This window comes from Homo sapiens, chromosome 1 (genome assembly GCF_000001405.40).
Source record: "Homo sapiens chromosome 1, GRCh38.p14 Primary Assembly".
Taxonomy (NCBI): Eukaryota; Metazoa; Chordata; class Mammalia; order Primates; family Hominidae; genus Homo; species Homo sapiens.
In genome coordinates, this window is record NC_000001.11 from 193,907,448 (window position 1) to 193,930,832 (window position 23,385).

Consider the following 23,385-nt stretch of genomic DNA (forward strand, 5'->3'; position numbering starts at 1 on the left):
TTCTTTATATGCTTGGAAAGGTCCTTTTGATCAGATATGTGATCAGATATGTGCTTTGCAAATATTTTCTCCCTGTCTGGGGCAGATAATAACTTTGTTTCTACCCTTCTCCCAGCAGCAGTGGTCTTTTGCCTGGATCCTCTGCCCCACCCAGCATCAGAAACCTATTGACTCTAGTCCTCTACAAAGGGCAGCAGATTATTCTCTGGGACCACAGTACATAGGTTTTCCTACCTTTCCACTAGTGGCTTATGGCTTTCGCTTATATTCAAGAAGGATCCATGAAATGTTGGGGATTATGTGGTTTTGTGCCATGGAGGTATGGGGGCATGCCAAAGTCCCCTGTCGTGCCTGATATCTTTCTCATGAGCACTAGTGAAGTGCTAAGGGGGGCTAGGGAATGAGCGCAGACAACTCATGTATCTGGGCTCCAAGAATCTAAACTCAATCTAGCCTATACTTGACATTTGTAAATTATTTAAAAATTAATATTTTTCTTCTTTCCTGTTTTCATGGAGGCTGCTTCTTCCTCTTTGACCATGCCAAAAGCAAAATAGTAAAAGAGTTCATATATCCTACCTCTGCTCAGAGCAAGATCTCATCTTAGTCCACAGTCCTACCTGCCATCTTTTGGGATTCAGTTGACAAGTTGCTTGGTGTTGCATTCTTGGTGTCATTGCCAGGTCTTTTGTTTTTGTTTTTGATGTGTTGTGACACAAGAGTCCTGTTGTTGGTAGAAGAGTGGTTAGCTGAACAGATTATGTTGCTCAGAAAATCCTATGGTTATAAGAGAGGGTAAGGATAGATCATAAAGGGAAACATGCATTGTCTTTGTCTGTATAGATATCTGTGGGTTGTTTTTTGTTTTTTTTTTTTGTTTGTTTGTTTGTCTTTTGAGACAGAGTCTCTCATTCTGTCACCTAGGCTTGAGTGCAATGGCGCGGTCTCGGCTCACTGCAACCTCTGCCTTCTGGGTTCAAGCGATTCTCCTGCCTCAGCCTCCCAAGTAGCTGGGATTACAGGTGCCCACCACCACACACAGCTAATTTTTGTATTTTCTGTAGAGATGGGGTTTCACCATGTTGGCCAGGCTGGTCTCGAACTTGTGATCTGCCCGCCTCGGCCTCCCAAAGTGCTGGGATTACAGACTTGAGCCACTGCACCTGACATCAAGATGTCTTGATGCACATTTTTATGTACTGCTAATAAAATAGTGGGATTATTTATAAGGGTCTTTGTTTAATGCCAAATCTTTATGTTAATCAGGTAAATTTAATGTTTTAAATGCTAAAAAATGTCAGACTTCAGCACTATATGATTCATTCACGTAACCAAAAACACTTGTACCCAAAAGCTATTGAAAAATAATTATTTGCAATTTACTTGCTACTCATTTAAACTCCAGTGACTGAAAGATAAGAAAAATAAAATGCCTAGTGGAACAGTTTATTCTGTGATATCTCTAGAATTTAGTAGTTATTGCACAAACCAAATAAACTTATACTGAAAATTGAATTTTCATATTACATTTATATTGCATTATATATATTGAATTTATAGTTCGTAAAGAGCATATATACGATTATAGTCATAAATTCATTAAAATGATATATTGGGTTAATTTCCCACTGAGGTCTGGTAGAAATAAATGTATTCTAAATAGTGAATCAAAAGTTTATTAAAAAATTCATCAACAATTTACTTGTTATTGTTTTCTTATGATGTGAATCTTGAATGTATCTCGAATCACTCTGCTTCTAAGAATTCAGCCAATTAGTAAAATGTCTGACAATATTGAATGGTTTTGAAGGATTTGTCTTATAAATTCTCAATCTTATACTGGAAGTTAGCCTCAAGTAAATGTAACTGTATTCACACAGATCTATTCCTTTGTTTACAAAGATATAATGACCAAATAGACTATATCAACTTAGACACAAGGAAGAAAGTCAAATTACACATAAAGAGCTACCACATTTGACTTAGAACATACATCATTAATTATTTCTGAAAATAAAAATAGCCAAAGAAGCTATATAGCACCCTAAACTGAAACGTCAGGTTGTCAGGACCCCTATGGAAACTCTCTTGTCATTCCAACAACTACCTTCTACTTATTCCAGGACCTGGTTCATCCTTTGTGGATGGGAAGTATGAGTCAGACTTGAGCAATCGACAGCTACACTTTGATGTCCCATGCCATTCTCCACCCATTCCAGCACTCCCTGACCAAAAGAACGTTCCAAAGTGGGCTTCGTTATGCCAACTCTGGTTCCCTTCAGCATCTATGATATTAAACTGTGACGTAGAGAGAAAACATTCTTTCTGAATTTAGGTGGAAACAATTTAGTTATACAAACACACAGGTCCACAAGCATGTCTGCCCCCGCTCTGCCATACAGATGCACATATCTCCAGAAGAAAAGCACTAATTGTGCATAAGCGCACAGCCTTAGTCAGAGAGCTTCAGCTGGGATATGCACAGAGCACTGCTAATAGACAAAATAATTTTGTGTGGTATGACAAACATTCTAATTTTAATAGTATATTTATTTTAGTTTGGAAATAATATAACAGGATATTTATGGTGAACATACAGAAGGATCATTGGTGGAGGGATCATTGGTGGGTGATTGAGAGAGAGCTCACAGAAAATCCACAGATACTGAGATCTTGGAGACTGAATTGGAGTGAAGGCTCTACCAGAGTGTGTAGAGGTAGCTACCATGTTATGCTAGGAGAAGACCACTATTTTAGTGGAGACAAGGATGTCTATGGACAGTAGAACTGAAGAGGCAACATCAAAGACTATGGCTATAGGTTTTAGATACATGTTAGGCAACATTTTTTCATTTGTCTGAGGGCTGAATTGAGGGACATACAATAGCTTACCACTTTTTTTTTTTTTTTTTTTGTAAAACAAGTGTTGAGATCAGATATATTCTTCTACCATTTTTGAACCCCCACCAACTCTGTTCCACAGGAAAAAGGTATTAAAGAGGTACACTGGAGCAATTCTCTATTCCAACACATTCCCTCTTTTCTGCTACAAAATAAGTGTAGGAAACAACTCATAGAAGAAGGGAAGTTCAGTGCCTCTGGGCTTTATCTTTGCACAGTGCGTTCCTATGGATCCAACCTTGTGATCTTGTCCTACTGCAGAGATCACAGGATTTGGTCTTATGAGGAGAGAGCCAGAGTGTTAGGTGTTGGAACCAATATATTTGGTTGTGCTGGAATTCCCAATGCTTACACAAAGTCTCCTTCTGGTTCCACACTCTGACAAGATGAGAGCAAAGTGCCCTGGGTGATCCCAAGACTCAGGCACTATGAATCTATACTTACATATACCATCCCCTAGTCTAAATCAGGGCTGTGTTTCTTGTCTAACCAAGAATCTCTTCTCCATACCTCACCTTGCTGCAGCATGTAGTAATGGAGTGGAGCGAGGCAGCCAAATAGAGGCCCTGCTCAGGTGGCATCTTGTAGTGTGTTTGTATGACCTGGCCAGTGAAAGGCATTCCCATTAGAAGAAGAGAGAGTCTCACTTGACCATGAACTCAGACACTCAAGAGGCTCTAGTACAGAGTTGGAAAGACTTTAGTGATTTGCTAAGTGGGGGCAATAGGAGTATGAGAAACAACTGTGGGAAGATCAGATTTGTGGCTCAAATCCAGTAATTCTTTAAGGTTAGACTGTTGGTTTAGATCAAAATTTAAAAATAAAATAATCTTAATAATATGGAACTAACTTCCATATGTTTAGTAAAAGTAAGAATATTCAAACAAATATAAATTCATTGCTGGTTATATCAGTTGCATTCTTCTTATTGGAAATCTTTTCTTTTAAGAAATTGCTTTATTACTTGGGTTTCATTTTTATTTTTTTGAAATGCAATAACATTACTTTCTTTTCAGTATATTTATATTAATGGCTATCTTCTATTTAAATGCTACCAGTTTTCCCTTTGTAATAGTAATATTTAGCTTGTCTTAAAAATAAATTTGTTCAAATATAAAATTTTAATTAAATACAAACATTAATTAAATACTAATAAAGTCAGACTAGGACATGGCAAAAATCATGAAGGTTGTTTGAGAATTATAGGCAATTTGAAAAACACTGGCTTTAGAGGGAAACAAGTTTAAATATGAGGTAGTGTGAGCAAAATTCTACACACAATTGGAAGAGCACATTACCTGGTGATGCAGGGTAGGTCATTATTAAGTGCCCATGTCTCTCTGAGTAAGACAAAGCGAGCATCCTCCCATTGAAATTTACTCAAGAAGGCAGATGTTACACACGACCACGTCTCTGTGCCTTGAGCGAAATCTCATTCTTAGTTAGGGCATCTTCAAACTATTCTTCCAAAAGGTGTTGGAGAAAGAGTCAGTCACTGGATAAATTGGGGAGTTTCTTTGAAGGAGTCTGCAATTTAAAGTGAGCAGAGTATCAACTTTGAAATTAATAGCTTTGGGCTGAATTTCAGAACTCCGGCTTTATGTCAACTGTGAGGGAACTTGGGAAAGATTAAACACTCTGCTTCATATGTATAAAATTAGAATAGTAATCCTAAAGGAAGTAAGGAATATTAAATGAGAATATGTATGTATATGCATGCGAGATATATATGTGTGTGTGTGTTTGTGTGTGTGTGTATGAAATATATTTCTTGGGGGAAAAAAAGAAAGGATTTCTTCCTCTTTTGATTAAAGGGAGCTAGATGGAGTGATCATAAGCTTTCTTTCAGTATGGAAAGTTTGACCCTACCACCCTTAAGTCTGAACATGACCTAAGAAAAAGGTGGATATGATATGATGGAAATCCTTGCTAGAGAGACACAATATGTTGAGAGCTTTTTTCGTTCCAGCCAGGTGGATTCAGGCAAGGGTAATGTAGCAATGTTGAAGGGAAGCAGGAGCCGATAAAGTGACCCACATGATATATCTTTAAGCCAAACCTCTTTGGATGAGGGATGGAAGGTGAAGATATTACATAGCTTGAGGGAAAATTGGAAAGAAAAGGATGATGACTGTACCCTATATAATACACTAGGACAAGTCCATAAACATGCCCGTTGTCATCTTGAGTTTGGTAATATAGCAGTGGTGTCTAGGTAGATGAAACTGATGAGACTGAGATGGTTTTCCTGTGACCTGCATATGTCAGACAGGAGGGGCAGAATTTCTCCATGCACCAGTGACCAGCTACTGCAGTGCTGGAGTCCGTATGAAGAGGCTGCCTTGCTTGACTTTGTGACTAAAGGCAAATGCCAGCCATTATGGGCTTGACTAGAGTGGTCTTCATTCTAGTGAATGACCTACTGTGTGACCACAGTACATTAACTGTCACCATTTCTGGAACTAGACAAGGGCAACCAATTTAACAACAGCCATTGGGATTCCAGAAGACACACAATAATTCAAAAATTCAAGACTCACTTTTTCCCATTACTCAAGGTCATGTAAGTGACCCTTCTGGCATACATTCAGATGCCATGTCTGAGAAGGTGAGGGAGAAGGAAAGCAAGTTGAAAAAAAAGTTATTTATGAAAAGAAGACTTTAAAAAAACAAGCCACTTAAAATAGCACTGAGAATTCGATGAACTTCGAGTAGACTGACTTAGAACATAGAATTTTTAAATGTGCAGATGCTGAGATACTAGTAATTGGCAAGTTTAAGTTTCTTCTCTTCCAAAGGGAAATAATTATGAGAAAAAGGATGATCAGATTATAACTGATCAGATCAGTTATGGAAAAATATAGCTGCTACATTTTCCTTGCTAATCTGAGTAATAGTTTGATTAAATTCTGTCTATGTCTCACATATATCACAATGCTAGACCTATAACAATAAGATATTAATTATTCTACTCTATACCATGCTAAAGGAATCAAATGAAGATATTCTAATAAGAAGCTAAACTACATCCACAACACAGGTCATAAAGTCATGCCATCTTATATATCTTACTTACAGCATTGGTAAGTGTGTAGGGATAAGATTGTATGAGGTGGAGAATAATAATAACATGGGTCTTAACAGTTTCTCTGTAAATTTCAGAATGCCAATGGACCTTCCATACTGACAAGCAATCCTACCATGTTTCTCTGGTTATTTCTTGGGAAAGACATAACTTCTTGTAGAAATAAAGCTGAAATGATATGAATTCTCTGCAACAATCTCTCACCCATTTGCAGAGAGCAGACCTAAAAATAGGGGTACTAGGAAAAGAATCCAAGAAAAATTGGATGCCCTGATGACAACTGTTGAGCTGCTAATAAAGCTTTGTGTAAAGCTAGCTCTGTAATGGGACTTTTCAATCATGTGAAATACTATATTTCATTTATTGATATGCTGGCTTACGTTAGGTATTCTGTCACTTTTCCTGAAGGACATCTGATAATAAAAAAAAAGATCCATGGCCAGAGCAAAGGGTACACAGTGTTGGTTAAGACACCAAAATTAAGTTTAGGTTAAATAGCATTGTCTAATATTCCCCCAAAGGATCCTATGAGGATGGAATCTTGAAGGTAGGGAAAGGAATCATAGGTGGTCTGGACATTAGTCCTGTCCTTTATCATCTCCTTCAGATTTCTGTAAGTTTTAGAGTATATTGAAATTCATAATTTTAAAAGAATAAATGAATCATATTTGAGGAAATTTATGAAAATTAAGCTGCCTGAGTTTCACTCACCTGTTGTACTTTGCCAAAAACATAAAAAACATAAACATCCCCCATTCACACTTAAATATTAATAATGTTTTAATTTACTGTTTACTTTTTATTAAAGTATGTTTTTCTTTCTTAATTCTATTATATTGAATCCTTTTATGTTTGCTTTTTTCCCTAACATGGCCTGCAAAAAGTGCTTGGCTATAAGATTTATTGTGTGTTTGTTTCAGAATCTTTTGTGACGATTTTCAAGCAATCACTCTTGAATGAAGCAGAGGATGCAGCCATATGCTGTACGTTCAGTATTTCCCCATTAAGTAAGGAAACAGAATGGCATTCTAGTGTCCTTCATTCTTTCCTCCATGTTGGCATTATGTGCTTCCATCCTAGGAGATTTAATGAGAATGCTAATTCAAGAGAATGCTTCCAATTAAGCATTTGAAAACTAAGAAAGCAATACAAGACACAAACTCTTTTGAAAGTCAACTTTTATTTCTTCACTTCTTATTTTATCCTTTTTACCATTGGCTACTTTATGAATGCCTATGGCTTTACCCATCATTGAGAAATGACATAAACTTACATCTCTACCCCAGTATTATCCTCTAAGTCTCAAATTGGTATAGTCAGCCATTAATTCTTCTCTCCTTCTAAGTGATTAAAAAGTAATCCAAACTCAGCTTGTCTCAAATTGAACATATTTTCATCCTCTTCTGTGATGGACAGGCTCCTAAGGTTTTTGTTAAATAGCTCAGGAAATTAAAAGGTATCTGTGCTGAATGCCCACCCCCCTCAATATTTAATCCATTAAAGCTCAATTTTACCACCCATGTATCTTTCAAATCTGTTTAGTTCTCTCTATTCCCATGGTAGCCACGGTTATGTTCGTAATACAAATCTAGTCATCTGACCACCATCCCCATTCCCCGCACAGCCCATGCTTAAAATATCAAATGTCATGTCACTGTTACTAGGACAAAGGTCACTAACCTTAAAATTGTCTAAAAGATAATTCATGTGTAGACCTGCCCTGTGTGATATGGTGGCTAGTAGGCATATGTGGTAATAGAATTGGGACTAGTCCAAATTGAGATTTGCTATGTGTGTATTTCAGAAACTCTGTATGAAAAAAGAAGCATATAAAATATCCTATTAATATTTTTATACTGACTATATGCCAAAATGGTAATATTGTACAAATATTGGGTTAAATAAAATAAATTCTTAAAATTAATTTAACCTGTTTCTTTTTACATTTTAATCTAGCTAATGGAAAATTTAAAATGATGTGAATTTCTGGCATGGTATTTTTATTAGACAGGGCTGGTCTAAAGTAGAATTATGCTCCCACATGCTTTCTGTTCTCCAATTTTACTGTACTTCTTTCATTGCCTATAAAGTGCTACACTTGGGCTTTTCATGTACTTTCTTTTGTCTGGAGCACTTCTTTTTCTTCAACTCTATGCAACGATCTTCCTATCACCCTGTGTACTACTTTTTCTTGAGATCTCAGTTAAGTCATCACAGACTCAGGAAAGATTCTCTTTATATCTCTGAGTAAGTTAAATTCCTGGATTATGGAACCAGGTGTTTCTCTGTCATATAGCTCACAGTAAAAATTTTATATATTTTTGCATAACTCTTTGTTAGTTTTTAGATTCTCTGTGATAGCATAGACCATCTCTGGTTTTGATCACCCTTATATGCTCAGCAACTAAAGCAGTATCTGCTATGTGCTAAGAGATTAATAAATATTTAGGAAATTTTTAAAAAATGAATGTCTGTTGACTTAAAAATATGGGAAACCATCATTATATATTCATAACCACCATTCAGTTACAGATTCTGAATGTCTCTGGCCAGACATATAATGTTGAAACTTAGAAAGAAACCTATTTGGATACTTTAGATTACTATCTAGAAAACACTCACTCCTACTTCCCTCCACACTCTCACCCTACTGTGGTCAGAACAGAGTATACTTCTGGTATCCTAGACTTGAACATCAGCACATGACTTGATTTCTTCAAAGGGAAATTAGGAGGCAAGAGAAGAAGAGACTTGAATTGTGTCTGCACAGGGGGCTCATCTTCACACCTCCACCAATACCATGTGGACGATCTTTGGAAGAAAGTTCCTGCCCCTTCAGCCTGGGCCTAATCCCCAGTGCAACTCATAGCTTCAGCCCAGTCTAGATCAGCTGAACTTGAGCAAGAATAAATTGTTGTTTTAAGGCACTGAGCTTGGAGGTGGTTGGTTACACAGCAATAGCCAATTATTACAGTTCCCATCTCAGGGCCCTAAATGTACTTTTAATAAGCAAAGATATAATATTTTGAATAGTGGAATTTTTGAAGTGGACCATTAGATTTTATACAGACCAAGACATTCTTAATGTTCCCTCAGACTGACTAAATTTTAGAATGTTTTCTTTCCAACTATAAGTCCCTGACCACTCTTTTCTTAGAGCATTTCATTCAGAAAGTTTTCTATTGTTAATACTTTCCCTACCCCTTTTACATGTAAATTTTCTCCAAATGTCTTCCCAATTTTACAACCTAGGAATGTCTTTCCCAAGGACCTTAGAACGATCCCTTTTAAATGTAATAATCAAGAAATGTAGGGCCCCTTTCTCCCAGTCTCTGTGGAAGGGCAGAATTCTGATTTTGGTAAGCATCAATTTAGCACATGTAGATAGCATCATCACTTTGACCAACTCCCCACTAATATCCTTCGGTGCTTTTCCAATAGTTCATCCCAGAAGTTAAAAACTTGCTTATCTTTTGTCTCAATAGAGTTGATAATCTCGCTCTCCTATTGCAGTAGTCTTGATCCCAACTGCAATAGTCTTGAATAAAGCCTTTCTTCCCTGTTTACATTTATCTGGTACAATTTTTCTTGAACAATGCACATAGAATTTCTTTCTAGGGAAGAAAATATAGAACAAGTAACAAGTATGTTTATGAACAATATAAACATAGGCTTCCCTGCTTTAAAGAGAATATTCATTTGTAATACATGTTATGTCCTTACTTTGATAAAGCCATATGTTTCATGAAATAATGAAAGTGGCTGATAATAACAGTAGCAGGTAAAATCTATTGCATATTTACATTAAGCACCATCTTAAGGGTTTAACAATGGGTGACTTTTAAAAACAATAAAAATATTTTGATATGGCTACTATTATGCCCATTTAATAAGTGAAGAAAATGAAGCTCTATGTGTTTAAATAGGTTCTCTTATGTCACAGTTTATACATAAGGAATTTCATATTCTGGTCCATTGCTTGTAGGGCCTACCTTGCTGACATCTCTTGCAAGCTGCATCTGTATACCTGGGTTAATCCTGTGCAATTTTGTGAACTGTTTATCACCTTCCCAAAGATACTCGAGAAGAGAATTGTGAGAAGTGCAAATGTGTTTCTTTTGACTTGTGTTAATGGAAGGCAGACTAAAAATATATTGAAACCTAATTGAAAATTTAAACTAAGTGAAAGGCAGAGAAAAGCATTTTCTCTTTACCTTGGAACAAATATCTTATTTGGCTCAAGGCCAAGCTAATAGTCCTAAGATTTATAAATGATTTTTAGATTTCAAGAGTTTCAAGAAATCTAAGAGATACATGACTCTGTCTATAGATGAGCATTTTATATATATATAGAAAGTATACAATATATTCAAAGGCTTTAAAATTCATCTAAGTGAAACCAGTTATTTAAATGTATTTTGTTCAAATAGGTGTTACACGTTACATATTGTCCATCATTTGGACACCTCTTATAAGAAGTTAAAGCCTGAAAGACACACTGAACATGGTCATTATCTCTGTGAATCACAGAATACTAGTACAATATATTCTAGGATATTAGCAATTTGGGTTTGAAATTCTTTTGGCTTAATCCTCGTGTGTCTGGAATTGGTGGGTTCTTGGTCTCACTGACTTCAAGAACGAAGCCGCGGACCCTCGCGGTGAGTGTTACAGCTCTTAAGGTGGCGCATCTGGAGTCTGTCCCTACTGATGTTCAGATGTGTTCGGAGTTTCTTCCTTCTGGTGGGTTAGTGGTCTTGCTGGGCTCAGGAGTGAAGCTGCAGATCTTTGCGGTGAGTGTTACAGCTCATAAAAGCAGCGTGGACCCAAAGAGTGAGCAGTAGCAAGATTTATTGCAAAGAGTGAAAGAACAAAGCTTCCACAGTGTGGAAGGGGACCCGAGCAGGTTGCCAATGCTGGCTCGGCAGCCTGCTTTTATTCTCTTATCTGGCCCCACCCACATCCTGCTGACTGGTAGAGCCGAGTGGCCTGTTTTGTCAGGGCACTGATTGGTGCGTTTACAATCCCTGAGCTAGATACAAAGGTTCTCCACGTCCCCATCAGATTAGTTAGATACAGAGTTTCCACACACAGGTTCTCCAAGGCCCCACCAGAGCAGCTAGATACAGAGTGTTGATTGGTGCATTCACAAACCTTGAGCTAAACACAGGGTGCTGATTGGTGTGTTTACAAACCTTGGGCTAGATACAGAGTGCCGATTGGTGTATTTACAATCCCTGAGCTAGACATAAAGGTTCTCCACGTCCCCACCAGAGCAGCTAGATACAGAGTGTCGATTGGTGCACTCACAAACCTTGAGCTAAACACAGGGTGCTGATTGGTGTATTTACAATCCCTGAGCTAGATATAAAGACTCTCCACGTCCCCACCAGACTCAGGAGCCCAGCTGGCTTCACCTAGTGGATCCCGCACCAGCGCTGCAGGTGGAACTGCCTGCCAGTCCTGCGCCGTACGCTCGCATTCCTCAGCCCTTGGGTGGTCGATGGGAGTGGACACCGCGGAGCAGGGGGTGGTGCTCATCGGGGAGGCTCGGTCCTCACAGGAGCCCATGGAGTGGGTGGGAGGCTCAGGCATAGCGGGCTGCAGGTCCTGAGCCCTGCCCCGCGGGAAGGCAGCTAAGGCCCGGAGAGAAATTGAGCGCAGCGCTGGTGGGCTGGCACTGCTGGGGGACCCAGTACACCCTCCGCAGCCACTGGCCTGGGTGCTAAGCCCCTCATTGCCCGGGGCCAGCAGGGCTGGCTGGCTGCTCCGAGTGCGGGGCCCACCAAGCCCACGGCCACCCGGAACTCCAGCTGGCCCGCAAGCGCCGCACGCAGCCCCGGTTCCCGCTCGCGCCTCTCCCTCCACACCTCCCTTCAAGCTGAGGGAGTGGGTTCCGGCCTTGGCCAGCCCAGAAAGGGGCTCCCACAGTGCAGTGGGGGGGGATGAAGGGCTCCTCAAATGCCACCAAAGTGGGAGCCCAGGCAGGGGAGGTGCCAAGAGCAAGCGAGGGCTCTGAGGACTGCCAGCACGCTGTCACCTCTCACTTGTGACATATATTTTAAGGCATTATCTCTAGTTTAATGTCATCTAAACTAAGGTTGTACATATATAGTAAATAGTGTATATTTATAGTTCCATAATATTATAATACTGAAGGATACTAAGTAACATAAATATATATGTATATATCAGTTATTTTATATATATATATATATCCTTGTTTATCTCTAAAATAAAATCCCACAGAAAGTCATCAACAAACATAGCATAAATTAAAAAGAAAATACTAAGCCCTCCACTAACTGAATGGACCCCCTCTTGACCCATGAGATCCCAGAGAAACCTTAAATGCTGAGTTCCTGGCTACGATGGGAAGGGAGGTCAGACACGTTTTGTTATACCATCTCTCTTTCGGAGTTTAGACACAACTGACCACAATTAAGGTTAAAATGTAGATAAAAGACTGACAAAACAGACTCTTTGTGGCAATAAGGTATCATATTATAAACAAAACTTAAGGCCATGCAAGGCAGGGGTAAGTCACACTTGTAGGACATCAGTCTTGCTAAATAGGTCATTTTGACCCAGTATATTGTGGCTGAATCTGACATAACATTCTTATCTCAACTTAAACATTCCTTTCTGCTGACTCCAAGTTTTAGACAGAGCCTTATTCCTTTAACCAATTACAAATGAAATAATCTCTGAATCCACCCAAAATCTGTAAGCCCTGGTTCAAGATATGTCACCTTTTCAAGCCAAACCAATGTCTAACCTCCATGTATTGATTTATGTCTTTACCTGTAACTTCTGCCTCCCTGAAATATATAAAAAACCAAACTGTAACCTGACCAACTTGGGACCACTTACACAGGCTTTTTGAGTTTGTCTTTTCTGCAGGCTGTGATCACTCAGATTGGCTCAGAATAAACCTCTTTAGAATATTTTACATAGTTTTTCCATGAACAATAAAAAGAAAAGAAGACATAATTTCTGGTGTATAAAATGAAGACAAATAGCCAAGCAAAGACTAATTTGAAACTTACAAGAGAAAAGTAGGGGGAAAAGAGAATAGCACAAACAGCATGAGCACAGTTAGGACATAACAGGTTGGGGTGGTGGGAGAAATTTTCCTGGAGTGATCTGAGTTTTAAGATTAAAGCAATGCATGTCATACTCCACACAAACATTGAAAACGTCCATTACCTGATAATTATCCAGAGAAGGGACTCTTGGTAACAGTAGGGCAGTTCTGAAGCAGATGGAACAATAAATGCAAAAGACCAGATATAGGAATGAATGGATAATTTGAGAGACAGAGAGAATAAATTAGTAAGTTAATAGGCTGGACCATAGTACACAAAAGGATAATTAGTAATAGATGAGGCTATGGAGTAATATGTGTCACATTAATAAGTGTCCTTCTAATCCTAAAGGCAATGAGAAATCTTAGGAGGGCTTTAATCAAGAAGAGAAATTAGACATATTTTAGAAAGTATATTATGGCTACAATGAACAAAAAATGTACTGGACTTCTGGCTTCCCTGTGGGATGCCGAAGGCTGAAACATATCACGATGTTAAAACAACAAGAAAAAATATCTGACGTTCTCAAGATTTATAATTTTTCTTGAGCCTATTAGAGAACTGAGATCATAGGACAACTAATTGATGTGGAATCTAAGAAAAGACAATCATTTCTAAGAAGAAAAGGGAAGCAACCACTTGTTTAACTGGGGAAGATGCTGTTGGACACTAGTAAGAAAAATTCAGCTAAACCTTTTAACAAATATTAAAAGCTGAATGGAGGCTAAGAAGAGAATATAAAAGCCCTGAGGTCAAGACACAAGGGGAATTTGCATGCAGTCAGAGGTTCTTTTTCTCAGGCCTTACAAAAAAGATTGGAAAAATTTCTGAAAAAGTTTCCTTCATGGTACAGACTAGGGGGTTGAAAAAACAGCCACTATAATAAAGGTAGGAAATCTCACCTAGATCCTTTCTACCTATCTCTCTGAAAGAAGAAAACACTGAAACTCCTGAGGGAAGGGTCAACATTATTGTCCTTAGGGCACCCCTGAAAACCATTTTCAGCTAGGTAAAGGGAAGGCTAAAAAAATCCTCTACTGCAAGAACAGTGGCAGGAAATTGTGCTGGATCTAAACCTACAGCTCTAGGTAAGGCAGGACCACTGAGCAGCCCCATTCCTAAGATCCGTGGACACAGTCCTGGGACTGAGGTTGAATTAGAAAAAGAGAGAACACTCACCTTTCTGCACCTCAGTAGGCTACAAGGTTTGTGTAACAGTTAACAGTAGTCTGCAGGACAAGTAGCAAGGAAAGAGGCAATAGTATGTGATATAGTTTGTATATTTGTCCTTGCCCAAGTCTCATGTTCAACTGTAATTCCCGCTGTTGGAGGTAAGACTGGTGGGAGGTGATTGGATCATGGGGGTGGATTTCTCATGAATGCTAAACCATTCATAGTACCATCGTTTTGGTGCTGTCCTCCCAATAGTGAGAGAATTCTCAGGAGACCTGGTCATTTAAAGATATGTGGAATCCCCCTTCCACTCTCTCTTCCTTTATCTTGCTTTTGCCATGTGACTTGCCTGCTCCCCCTTCACCTTCTACAATGATTGTAAGCTTCCTGAAGCCTCCCTAGAAGCTGAGCAGATGCCAGCATGGTGCTTCATATAAAACCTGAAGAACTGTGAGCAAATTAATCCTCTTTACTTTATAAATTACTCAGTCTCAGTTCTTTCTTTATTTCAATGCAAGAATGGCCTAATACAGTATGGAAAGTGATCCTTTCTTGGTTCATTTAGTATAAATCATAGAAATGAATCTGGAGTCTAGTTCAACTCCTACCCATTTGCAGAGTGTATATATACACACACACACACACACACACACACACACACATATAAAATGTGTGTGTGTATAAACAATTTTGTGTGTATACACAAAATGCGCATATAAAATGTGCGTGTGTGTGTGTGTGTATACACAATTTCCTCAGTTTTTCCATACCAATAGCAAACTTGCTTTCAACAACAACAAAAATAAGGCATACAGGAAATCAAGAAAAAAGACTTGTAAGAGACATGGCAAACTGAAGGAACTAGATCCAGATATAACATAGATGATGGAGTTTATCAGACAGAAAAGCTAAAATAAATATCATTAATGTGCTACATTGTCTACTGGAAAAGTGGACAATATACATGACCAGATAAGTAATTTCAGCAGACAGGTAAAAAGTATAAGGAAGGATCAAAGGAAATGCTAGAAAACCAAAAACAGATTAATAAAGCAGAACCGCTTGGAAAGGTTAATTTGTAAACTTGAAACAGTCAAGGAAGGAATCAGTGAAATTGAAGAATGATTAAAGAATTTATCCAAATTCAAATGCAAGGAGAAAATAAAAAGAGAGAAAATAGAGCATTCAAGAGGTACTGGACAATATCAAACAGTCTAACATAGGTATAAATAGAATTCCAGAAAGAAAACTGGCCAGGAAAAATATTTGAAATAATGGTTGACAAGTTTCCAGAATTGACAGCCATAAAACTATAATGGGCCAAGAAAACATAAAGCTGAATAAAAACCAAACCAAAACAGAATACAAACAAGCCCTAGATATATGATATTTAAACTTTTAAAAAATAAAGACAAAGACAAAAAATCTTAAAGCAGTCAGAAGAAAAGAACCACCATATAAACAAGGAAAAAAAGATACAAATCATAGTAGTTTTCAACAAAAACGCTTCAAGCCTGATGATAATACAGTGACATCTTTAATGTGCTGAAACAAAAAATAGTATCTGTCAACAAGAATTCCATACCAAGTGAAGATAATTTTTAATAACAAAAAAGAAATACAGATTTTTTTTAGAAAACAAAAACTGAGACAATGCATTATCAGAAGTTCTGCATTACAATAAATGTTAAAGAAAGTTCTCCAGGCAGAAAGAATACAACACCAGAGAGAAATGTGGGCCTACAAGAAGCAATGACAAGTACTGGAAATGTAATAAATAAAGATAAGTATGCATGCCTTTTCAAAGAAAATGTAACTGCTCTATAACATAACTGTGTAAACACACAGTGTCTTGTGTATTAAAAGCATATATGAAGGCAAAATGTGTTACAAAACAAGCATTAAGGATAGAAAGGAAGAATTATAAGTATAATCTTCTAAGATTATTATACTATAAGTGAAACAATATTATATTATTTGTGGTACACACTAATGAATTAAAGAAGTATATTACAAAATGTAGGGCAATCATTAAATTTTTTAAAAGCCATAAAAATTAAGCCAATACTGTAGGTAAAGCAGAATCATAAAATATATTTAATAGAAAGGAAGGAATAAAAGCATTTTTTAAAGAGAGTGAACAAACAGAAAATTAGAAAGTTTATTTAATCATTTGAAAATTACAACAAATTTATAAGGTTTAAACACATCAATTAAAGGAATTGTGAGATTGGCTAAAAAGTAAAAAAATAAAATAACCACTGTAAATATAAAGGCAGGGTTACACTAAAGATAAAAAGATGGAAAAAACATAATCAAAGCATATAGTATTCAAAAGGAAGTTGGAGAAGTTTCAATAAAATTTCACAAAGTAGATTTCAAATCAAGTAATATTGGCAAGAAAAATGAAGAATATTACATAATGACAAAAGAGTCAATTTATAAGAAGATATAAAGTCATAAATGTGTGTATACCTAACAAAAGTGCTCAAATACATTAATTGAAAACTGATAGGACTTAAAGTAGAAACAGACAAAACCAGGAGTATAGTATAGGGTTCAACATTCCTCTTTCAGTAACTGATAGAAGTAAACAAGAAATAATAATACTTGAGCACAATGAAAATTATGACTTCTGTAGGAATTTTGGTAGAAACATGCAAGTTGAATCTAGAATTTATATGGAAAGCCAAAGAAAATAAACCATCCAACACAATTTTGAAATAAAGGAATAAAGTTTGACACCTCATAGTATCTGATTTCTAACCTACTAAATCTAGAATAGTTAAGTGGTTCTGGAGACAGGGAAAATATATAGATTAATATAACAGAATTGAGTTCTGACATAGACCTACACATATGCAGTCAATTGATTTTCAATGAAGGTGCAATGACCACTCAAGGGAAAATAATTTTTTAATACATTATGCTAAAGAAATTGGGTATCCATTAAAAAACATTGTCGGCTGGGCGCGGTGGCTCATGCCTGTAATGCCAGCACTTTGGGAGGCTGAGGCGGGCAGATCACCTGAGGTTGGGAGTTTGAGACCAGCCTGACCAACATGGAGAAACCCCATCTCTACTAAAAATACAAATTAGCCAGGTGTGGTGGTGCATGCCTGTAATTCCAGCTACTTGGGAGGCTAAGGCAGGAGAATTGCTTGAACCCGGGAGGCGGAAGTTGCGGTGAGCTGAGATTGCGCCGTTGCACTCCAGCCTCGGCAACAAGAGTGAAACTCCATCTCAAACAAAAACAAAAACATTGTGACTGATATTTTGCAGCCTGATTAAGATCAATGCATCGTAGACCTAAATGTAAACCTAAAACTATAAAATTTCCAGAAAAAAACACTGGAGAAAATCTTCATGATCATGAGTTAGGAAAATATTTCTCAGACAAGGTACTAAAAGCATGATTTATAAAAGAAAAAAATGACAAATTGAACTTCATCAAATCTGAGAACTAGTTTTTGAGAGACACCATGAAGAGAATGAAAACTATGAGATAAAAATGAGAGAAAATATTTGAAAATCACATATCTGATAAAGGATTTGTGTCTAGAATATACTATTACCCAAAGTCAGTAGTTTAGGGTTCACTTTTGCTGTTGCACATTTTGTAGGTATAATAACATATATTCACCATTATAATATCATACAGAATATTTTTTTTCAGATACAGGGTCTTGCACTGTCACCCATGCTAAAGTACAGTGGCATGATCATGGCTCACTGCAGCCTCGAACTCCTGGGCTCAAGTACTTCTCTAACCTCAGCCTCCCTTCAGGCACATGCCATCATGCCTGGCTACATTTTTTTATTTATTATAAAGATGGAGTCTCACTATGTTGCCCAGACTGGTCTTGAACTCTCATACAGAGTGTTTGTTTGTTTGTTTGTTTTGAGATGGAGTCTCGCTCTGTGGCCCAGGCTGGAGTGCAGTAGTGTGATCTTGACTCACTGATATCTCTCCCTCCTGGGTCCAAGCGATTCTTGTGCCTCAGCCTCCCAAGTAGCTGGGACTACAGGCGCAGGCCACCACACCCAGCTATTTTCTTTTGTATTTTTAGTAGAGACAGGGTTTCACCATGTTGGCCAGACCGGTCTTGAACTCCTGACCTCAGGTGATCCGCCCACTGTGGCCTCCCAAAGTGCTGGGATTACACGCGTGAGTCACTGCACCCAGCACTCCATACAGAGTATTTGTAATGCCCTAAAAATCTACTATATTCTGCCTGTTCATCACTCCCTCTCCCCAATCCCTGCCAATTACTTATCTTTTTTACTTTTTCCTTTGTTTTGCCTTTTCCAAAATGTTATATATTTGAAAATGTACAGTACAATGCCTTTTCGAGTTGGCTTTTCTCACTAAGTGATATGCATTTAAGAATTCTCCATATTTTTTAATGGCTCATTTCTTTTTAGCACTGAATAATATTCCATTGTCTGGATGTACCACAGCTTACTTAACTACTTACCTGTGGAATGACATCTTGTTTGCTTCAAGGCTTTGACAATTATGAATAAAGCTGCTATAAACATCTTGTGCAAGATTTTGTGTGGACATAAATTTTCAACTCCTTTGTGTACATATCAAGGAATATAACTGCTAGATCATATGGTAATAGTAAGTTTAGTTTTGCAATAAACTGCCAAACTGCTTTCCAAAGTGGCTGTGCCTTTTGCATTCTCACCAGCAAGAAATGAGGGTCAGCATTGCTCCATGTCATTGCCAGAATTTGGTGTTTCCAGTATTCTGGATTTTGGCCATTCTAATGGATGTATGGTGGGATCCTCTATTTAATTTGCATTTCCCTTATAACATATGATTCGAGCATCTTTTTATGTGCTTACTTACCATCTGTATATCTTCTTTTGTGAGGTATCTGTTAAAGTCATTGACTCACTTTCTTAATTGGGTTGTTTGTTTTCTTATTGTTAAGCATTATATTTTCAATATGTTAAATTTTGCCTAAATGCTTCTTTCATAATATTTAAAGGTTTGTTCAGAAGGAGGTTCTGTGGAGAGAGAGAGAGAGAAAGAAAGAGAACACAAAAGAAAGATCAGTAGTATGCTTTAAAAAAATCTAATTTTTCCTAAAGCAGAGTCACAAAATAATGCTAAAAGGAAATGGGAATATGCAAAAAGTAAAAGAACTAAGAACAGCTGGTTTTTCTGTTGTTGAGACTACATGGTAAAGTTTTCCTTTTGTTTTTGGAGGGTAATATGATTAATAATATTTAAACATACTGTCACAGGATCCTTAGGGTATCACTTCCCCAGCCAGAAACCTCTGTGGCTGGCAGTTTCTGTGCTTAAGTTTTGCTTGTGCCCGCTGGGCTCATTCTACCCACTCGGCCCAACAGGCTGCACTTGGCTCATGCTACCGGCCTGGATCCCATGCCTACCAAGGGCAAGCCAGGCTTGGAGTGGCAAGGGGTGTGTGAGTGAATGAACACAAGATCTGGTCACTGGGCACAGCCAGGCACGCTGGCAGCCGTGGCAGGGCAGGCAGCTCCAGGTGCTGGCACAGATGTCGGCTCCCTCTGAGGCTATATCTGGACCAGACAAATCGCAAGTGGCTTCTGCATGTGATTGCTAAAAAGCAACTGGATGAGGGGAACATGGTGGTGCCCAAAATCTCAGAGACACCAGGAACTGCAGAGCCCCAAAAAGGGTGTTACAGCATGTCACACCCTGGCTCAGGGAGCCCTGAGTTCTGGGCTCCCAGAAGAGCCATAGCTTTTGTCTCCTTCTCATTGCCTGCAGCCAGTGACCTGGAGTTTCACGGCGCTGTGTTTCAGCCTGTTTTTGTTATAGCTCTTTCAGTCCCACCTCACCACTCTGGCCCATGGCTCCTGGGCTGGCCTGGCTCAACTACTGTTTCCCATCATGTCGGGTAGCTACCCAGCGCTGGCAGAGAACAGGAGGGATATAGTGTTATAGCCCCCTTAGCTCCCACCTGCAGCTAAGCAAGCCAGCCAGGAAAGTGTTACAACCCCTTTAGCTCCTGCCATTTGGCAGGTCCCCAGTTCTTGTCCCACGTCCAGGAAGAATGAGGCTATACAGACAACTGGTGGGTAAGCAAGTAGGAGAGGAGATTTATTTAGCTTCAGAACAGCTCTCAGTGGAGAGGAGACCCAAAGTGGATAGCTCCTATCTGTAGGCACATTGTCCTGAGGAGTGTCTGAGTCTGGCTGAATCCAGGGGTTTTTATGGACTTAGAATGGAGGAAGTGCATACTCATCGGGCAGTGGGCAGGAATGGAGAAAGCACCACTTGATTGGGCAAAAGGCAACAAGGAAGTTCTTGCTCCAGGTTGCGGACTTCACCCGGAACTGGTAGCCCGGCCCCCAGGCTTTAGGCTGTCCCTGGCTTGAAGGTGAGGTTCACAAGGGACCTGTCTCTTCCCACCTAGAAAATTGTCTGTGTCCCACTACCATCAATACCACATAAAATTTAATTGTTGAATATTCAAAACAACAATGTTGGGTTTTTGCTTAGAAGCCAATTTAAACCTAAAAAGCACAAATAGGTAGTAAAATATTGCATGCCATAACCTTAGGTGTCATATGCAAATAATCTTTTATAATTTTATTTTTTTCACCCTCCAGCAAGTAATTTTGTAATGATCTGAGGTCATTCATCCAGATACCAGGAATTGGCACTAATTTTCACATGCCTAAATATTGGAGTTAGCACAAGAATTTCTTTCTGACTTGCAATTTCACTTTTAAAATGAAACTTTTCTTCCTAAATATTTTCTTGTTTTCTTTAGGATGATTGCCATGAGGCATCATATAATTGCTTTCTTGACTCTTTAACCTTCTTTTAGAATCTAAAACCTAAAACCTGCAGAGTCCCCAGTGTACCTTTCTTACCGAAATGCTACTGCTTAGAGTGCTTTAGCAGCTGGACCTAAAACCTAATGATCAGACAAAATAAGATCACAGCCTACCTGAAGGGGCAAATAGTGAAAATTTACTAAAAAGTTTAGAGCAGAAATGAAAAGAAGTGGGGTCCACTTGGAAGAGGGCCAAGCAGGTGACTTGAGAGATTCAAGTGCATGGCATGGTTTGACCTCTGGCTTGGGGTCTTATACTTTGGCATGCTTCCTGGGTTGCGTCCCTTTTCCGCTTATTCTTCTCTTGCGGTGGGCTGTCCACATGTGGCCTGATAGCACTTGGGACGGGACACATGCACAATGTGTTTTCTGAAATTGTGCACATACTCACTTAAGGCATTTTCCCCTTAACCAGTCAAGTGTTCCCAGAGAAAGGTCATATACTATATGCCAGTTAAACTCTGCCATTTTGCCTCTTAGTGTGCATGCTTGAGACCACTTGCCCAACTCCTGAGATCTTATCAGGAAGCTACTTATCACCAGTGTCAAGTGTTTTCTATCTATTGGGAGACTGCCTTTCCCTGGCACTGGCTGTGACCAGTTTTTATTTTAGAGACTGTTCTAAATAAGCCACCTGACTATCACCTCATGGTCACCTGACATTCCTGGTGGTCATAGGGCCTTCTCCTGCCCTGCTTATGTCTGAGTAACTACCTACTGTAACACTTCAGGAAAACAGAAAGACAGTAACATGTATTGTACAAACAGCATTTATGCAAGTTAAATATACACAAAAACAATACATTTTATTCCTAGATAAGATAGCTGCAAAGATAAAAATGCTACATACCGCCCTCACAATTTTCTCACAAGGAGATTTCTTGTGGGCCTCAAGCTCTTTACTCTAAAACAATTCTGTTGAATTTTACCTTGGTAGTATAAACTGATAATTTATCTTCACAAGTAAAGCCAGACAAAGGATGAACAGAATTGAGTCATCCCCCTGCTCACTTGAGACAAATGCATATTGAAATGCTTCCTCTTTCTTATTGTTTATGTAAAAATGCAGATTCACTGAGCCAGACTAAGGCATTAGTGAGTATTCTTCTACCTCCCTCTCACATGTAAATTGTGTATCCAGTAAAAAGCTGATCAAAGATTCAAAAGAATGCAACAATTTGTCTCTCATCTATCTATTACCTGGAAGCTCCCCTTTGAGTTGTTCTGCGTTTCAGACAGAACTGAAGTACATCTTACACATATTGATTGATGTCTCATGTCTCCTTAAAATGCATAAAACCAGCTATCCCATGACCACTTTGGGCACATGTCATCAAGATCTCCTGAGGCTGTGTCATGGTTGCATCCTTAGCCTTAATAAAATAAACTTTCTAAATTGATCGAGACCTGTTTTAGATGCTTTTGGTTCACAACGGGCACAGAATTAGAGAAGAAAAAAAAAAACTTGCAATTTCAAAGATATACTCTTAAGAATACTTACTGTTTTTTAAAACCACTTTGTCTTACATTTCACTGATTTCATCAGATGACTTCCATCAGCATCCATAAACTAGTGTTGAGACCATTCCAGATTAATGTTGAAGAGAAGTAAAATATTTTACCCCAAAATATATTTCTTTGAAATATTTTGAAGTAGCTGCCACTTGGCCATCCTGACAGAAGTGGCCTTGCAAAGCTGTCTTAAGTGAGGGAAATTTGCATCTGTAGAGAATCTCCATTAATGCAGCCATACCCCCTACCTCCCTTTCTATGCCTTTCCGAGGATCCAGGAGACACTGACACCTTTTAAAGTTCAAAAAGAAATATTTACCCTATATGCTCTCTCAGGGAAGCTTCACCAACATCATAAGGCTACCTTTGCTAGCCAAGCTTCTTCCTTTCTCTCTCTCTTAACCTGTCTTGCCACTAAACCTGACTTACTTGTATCTGGCCATGCTCTTGAGTCTGCATTATTTACTGTGGCCTCAGGATAATATATAAGTTTCTGTATCTCATTGGGCACTTGGGTTTTTATTCTGAGGCACCCTTGTATACATGTGAAATAAATTTGTATGTTTTTTCTCCTATCAATCAACCTGCCTCATGTCAGTGATGGTTAGCAAATCTTTAGGGGGCCAAGAGCCTATGAACCTCACAGTATAGTGGAACAAGCCAGGCGATTATCAAAACTGCTCTTCCCTTCTGGAAGGTGCAGTGAAGAGAAACCAGGAAGCTGATCTGCTGGCAAAGGGGTAAAAATTTTTTTACCTGCCAGGCTCCTGGCCTCTCTTTC

The 23,385-nt window shown here is 38.5% G+C and overlaps 1 long non-coding RNA gene across 1 annotated transcript in view, besides 2 other annotated features; it reads left to right on the plus strand.

Moving 5' to 3' along the window:
- Window positions 1-23,385, plus strand: part of LOC124904475 (uncharacterized) — a 765,263-nt gene that overhangs the window by 453,163 nt on the left and 288,715 nt on the right. The gene's annotated exons all lie outside the window — the stretch shown is intronic.
- Window positions 332-501: an enhancer, noted in NCBI's record as "experimental_1475 CRE fragment used in MPRA reporter constructs". NCBI's record gives its function as "activates a minimal promoter by MPRAs in K562 erythroleukemia cells, with activity observed for the introgressed 1:193876994 or rs12128445 variant allele {active_cell/tissue: K562}" and the evidence as "EXISTENCE:reporter gene assay evidence [ECO:0000049][PMID:34662402]".
- Window position 417: a transcriptional cis regulatory region, noted in NCBI's record as "Neanderthal adaptively introgressed variant 1:193876994 (GRCh37/hg19 assembly coordinates) or rs12128445 in the experimental_1475 CRE". NCBI's record gives its function as "modulates activity of the experimental_1475 enhancer by MPRAs in K562 erythroleukemia cells {active_cell/tissue: K562}" and the evidence as "EXISTENCE:reporter gene assay evidence [ECO:0000049][PMID:34662402]".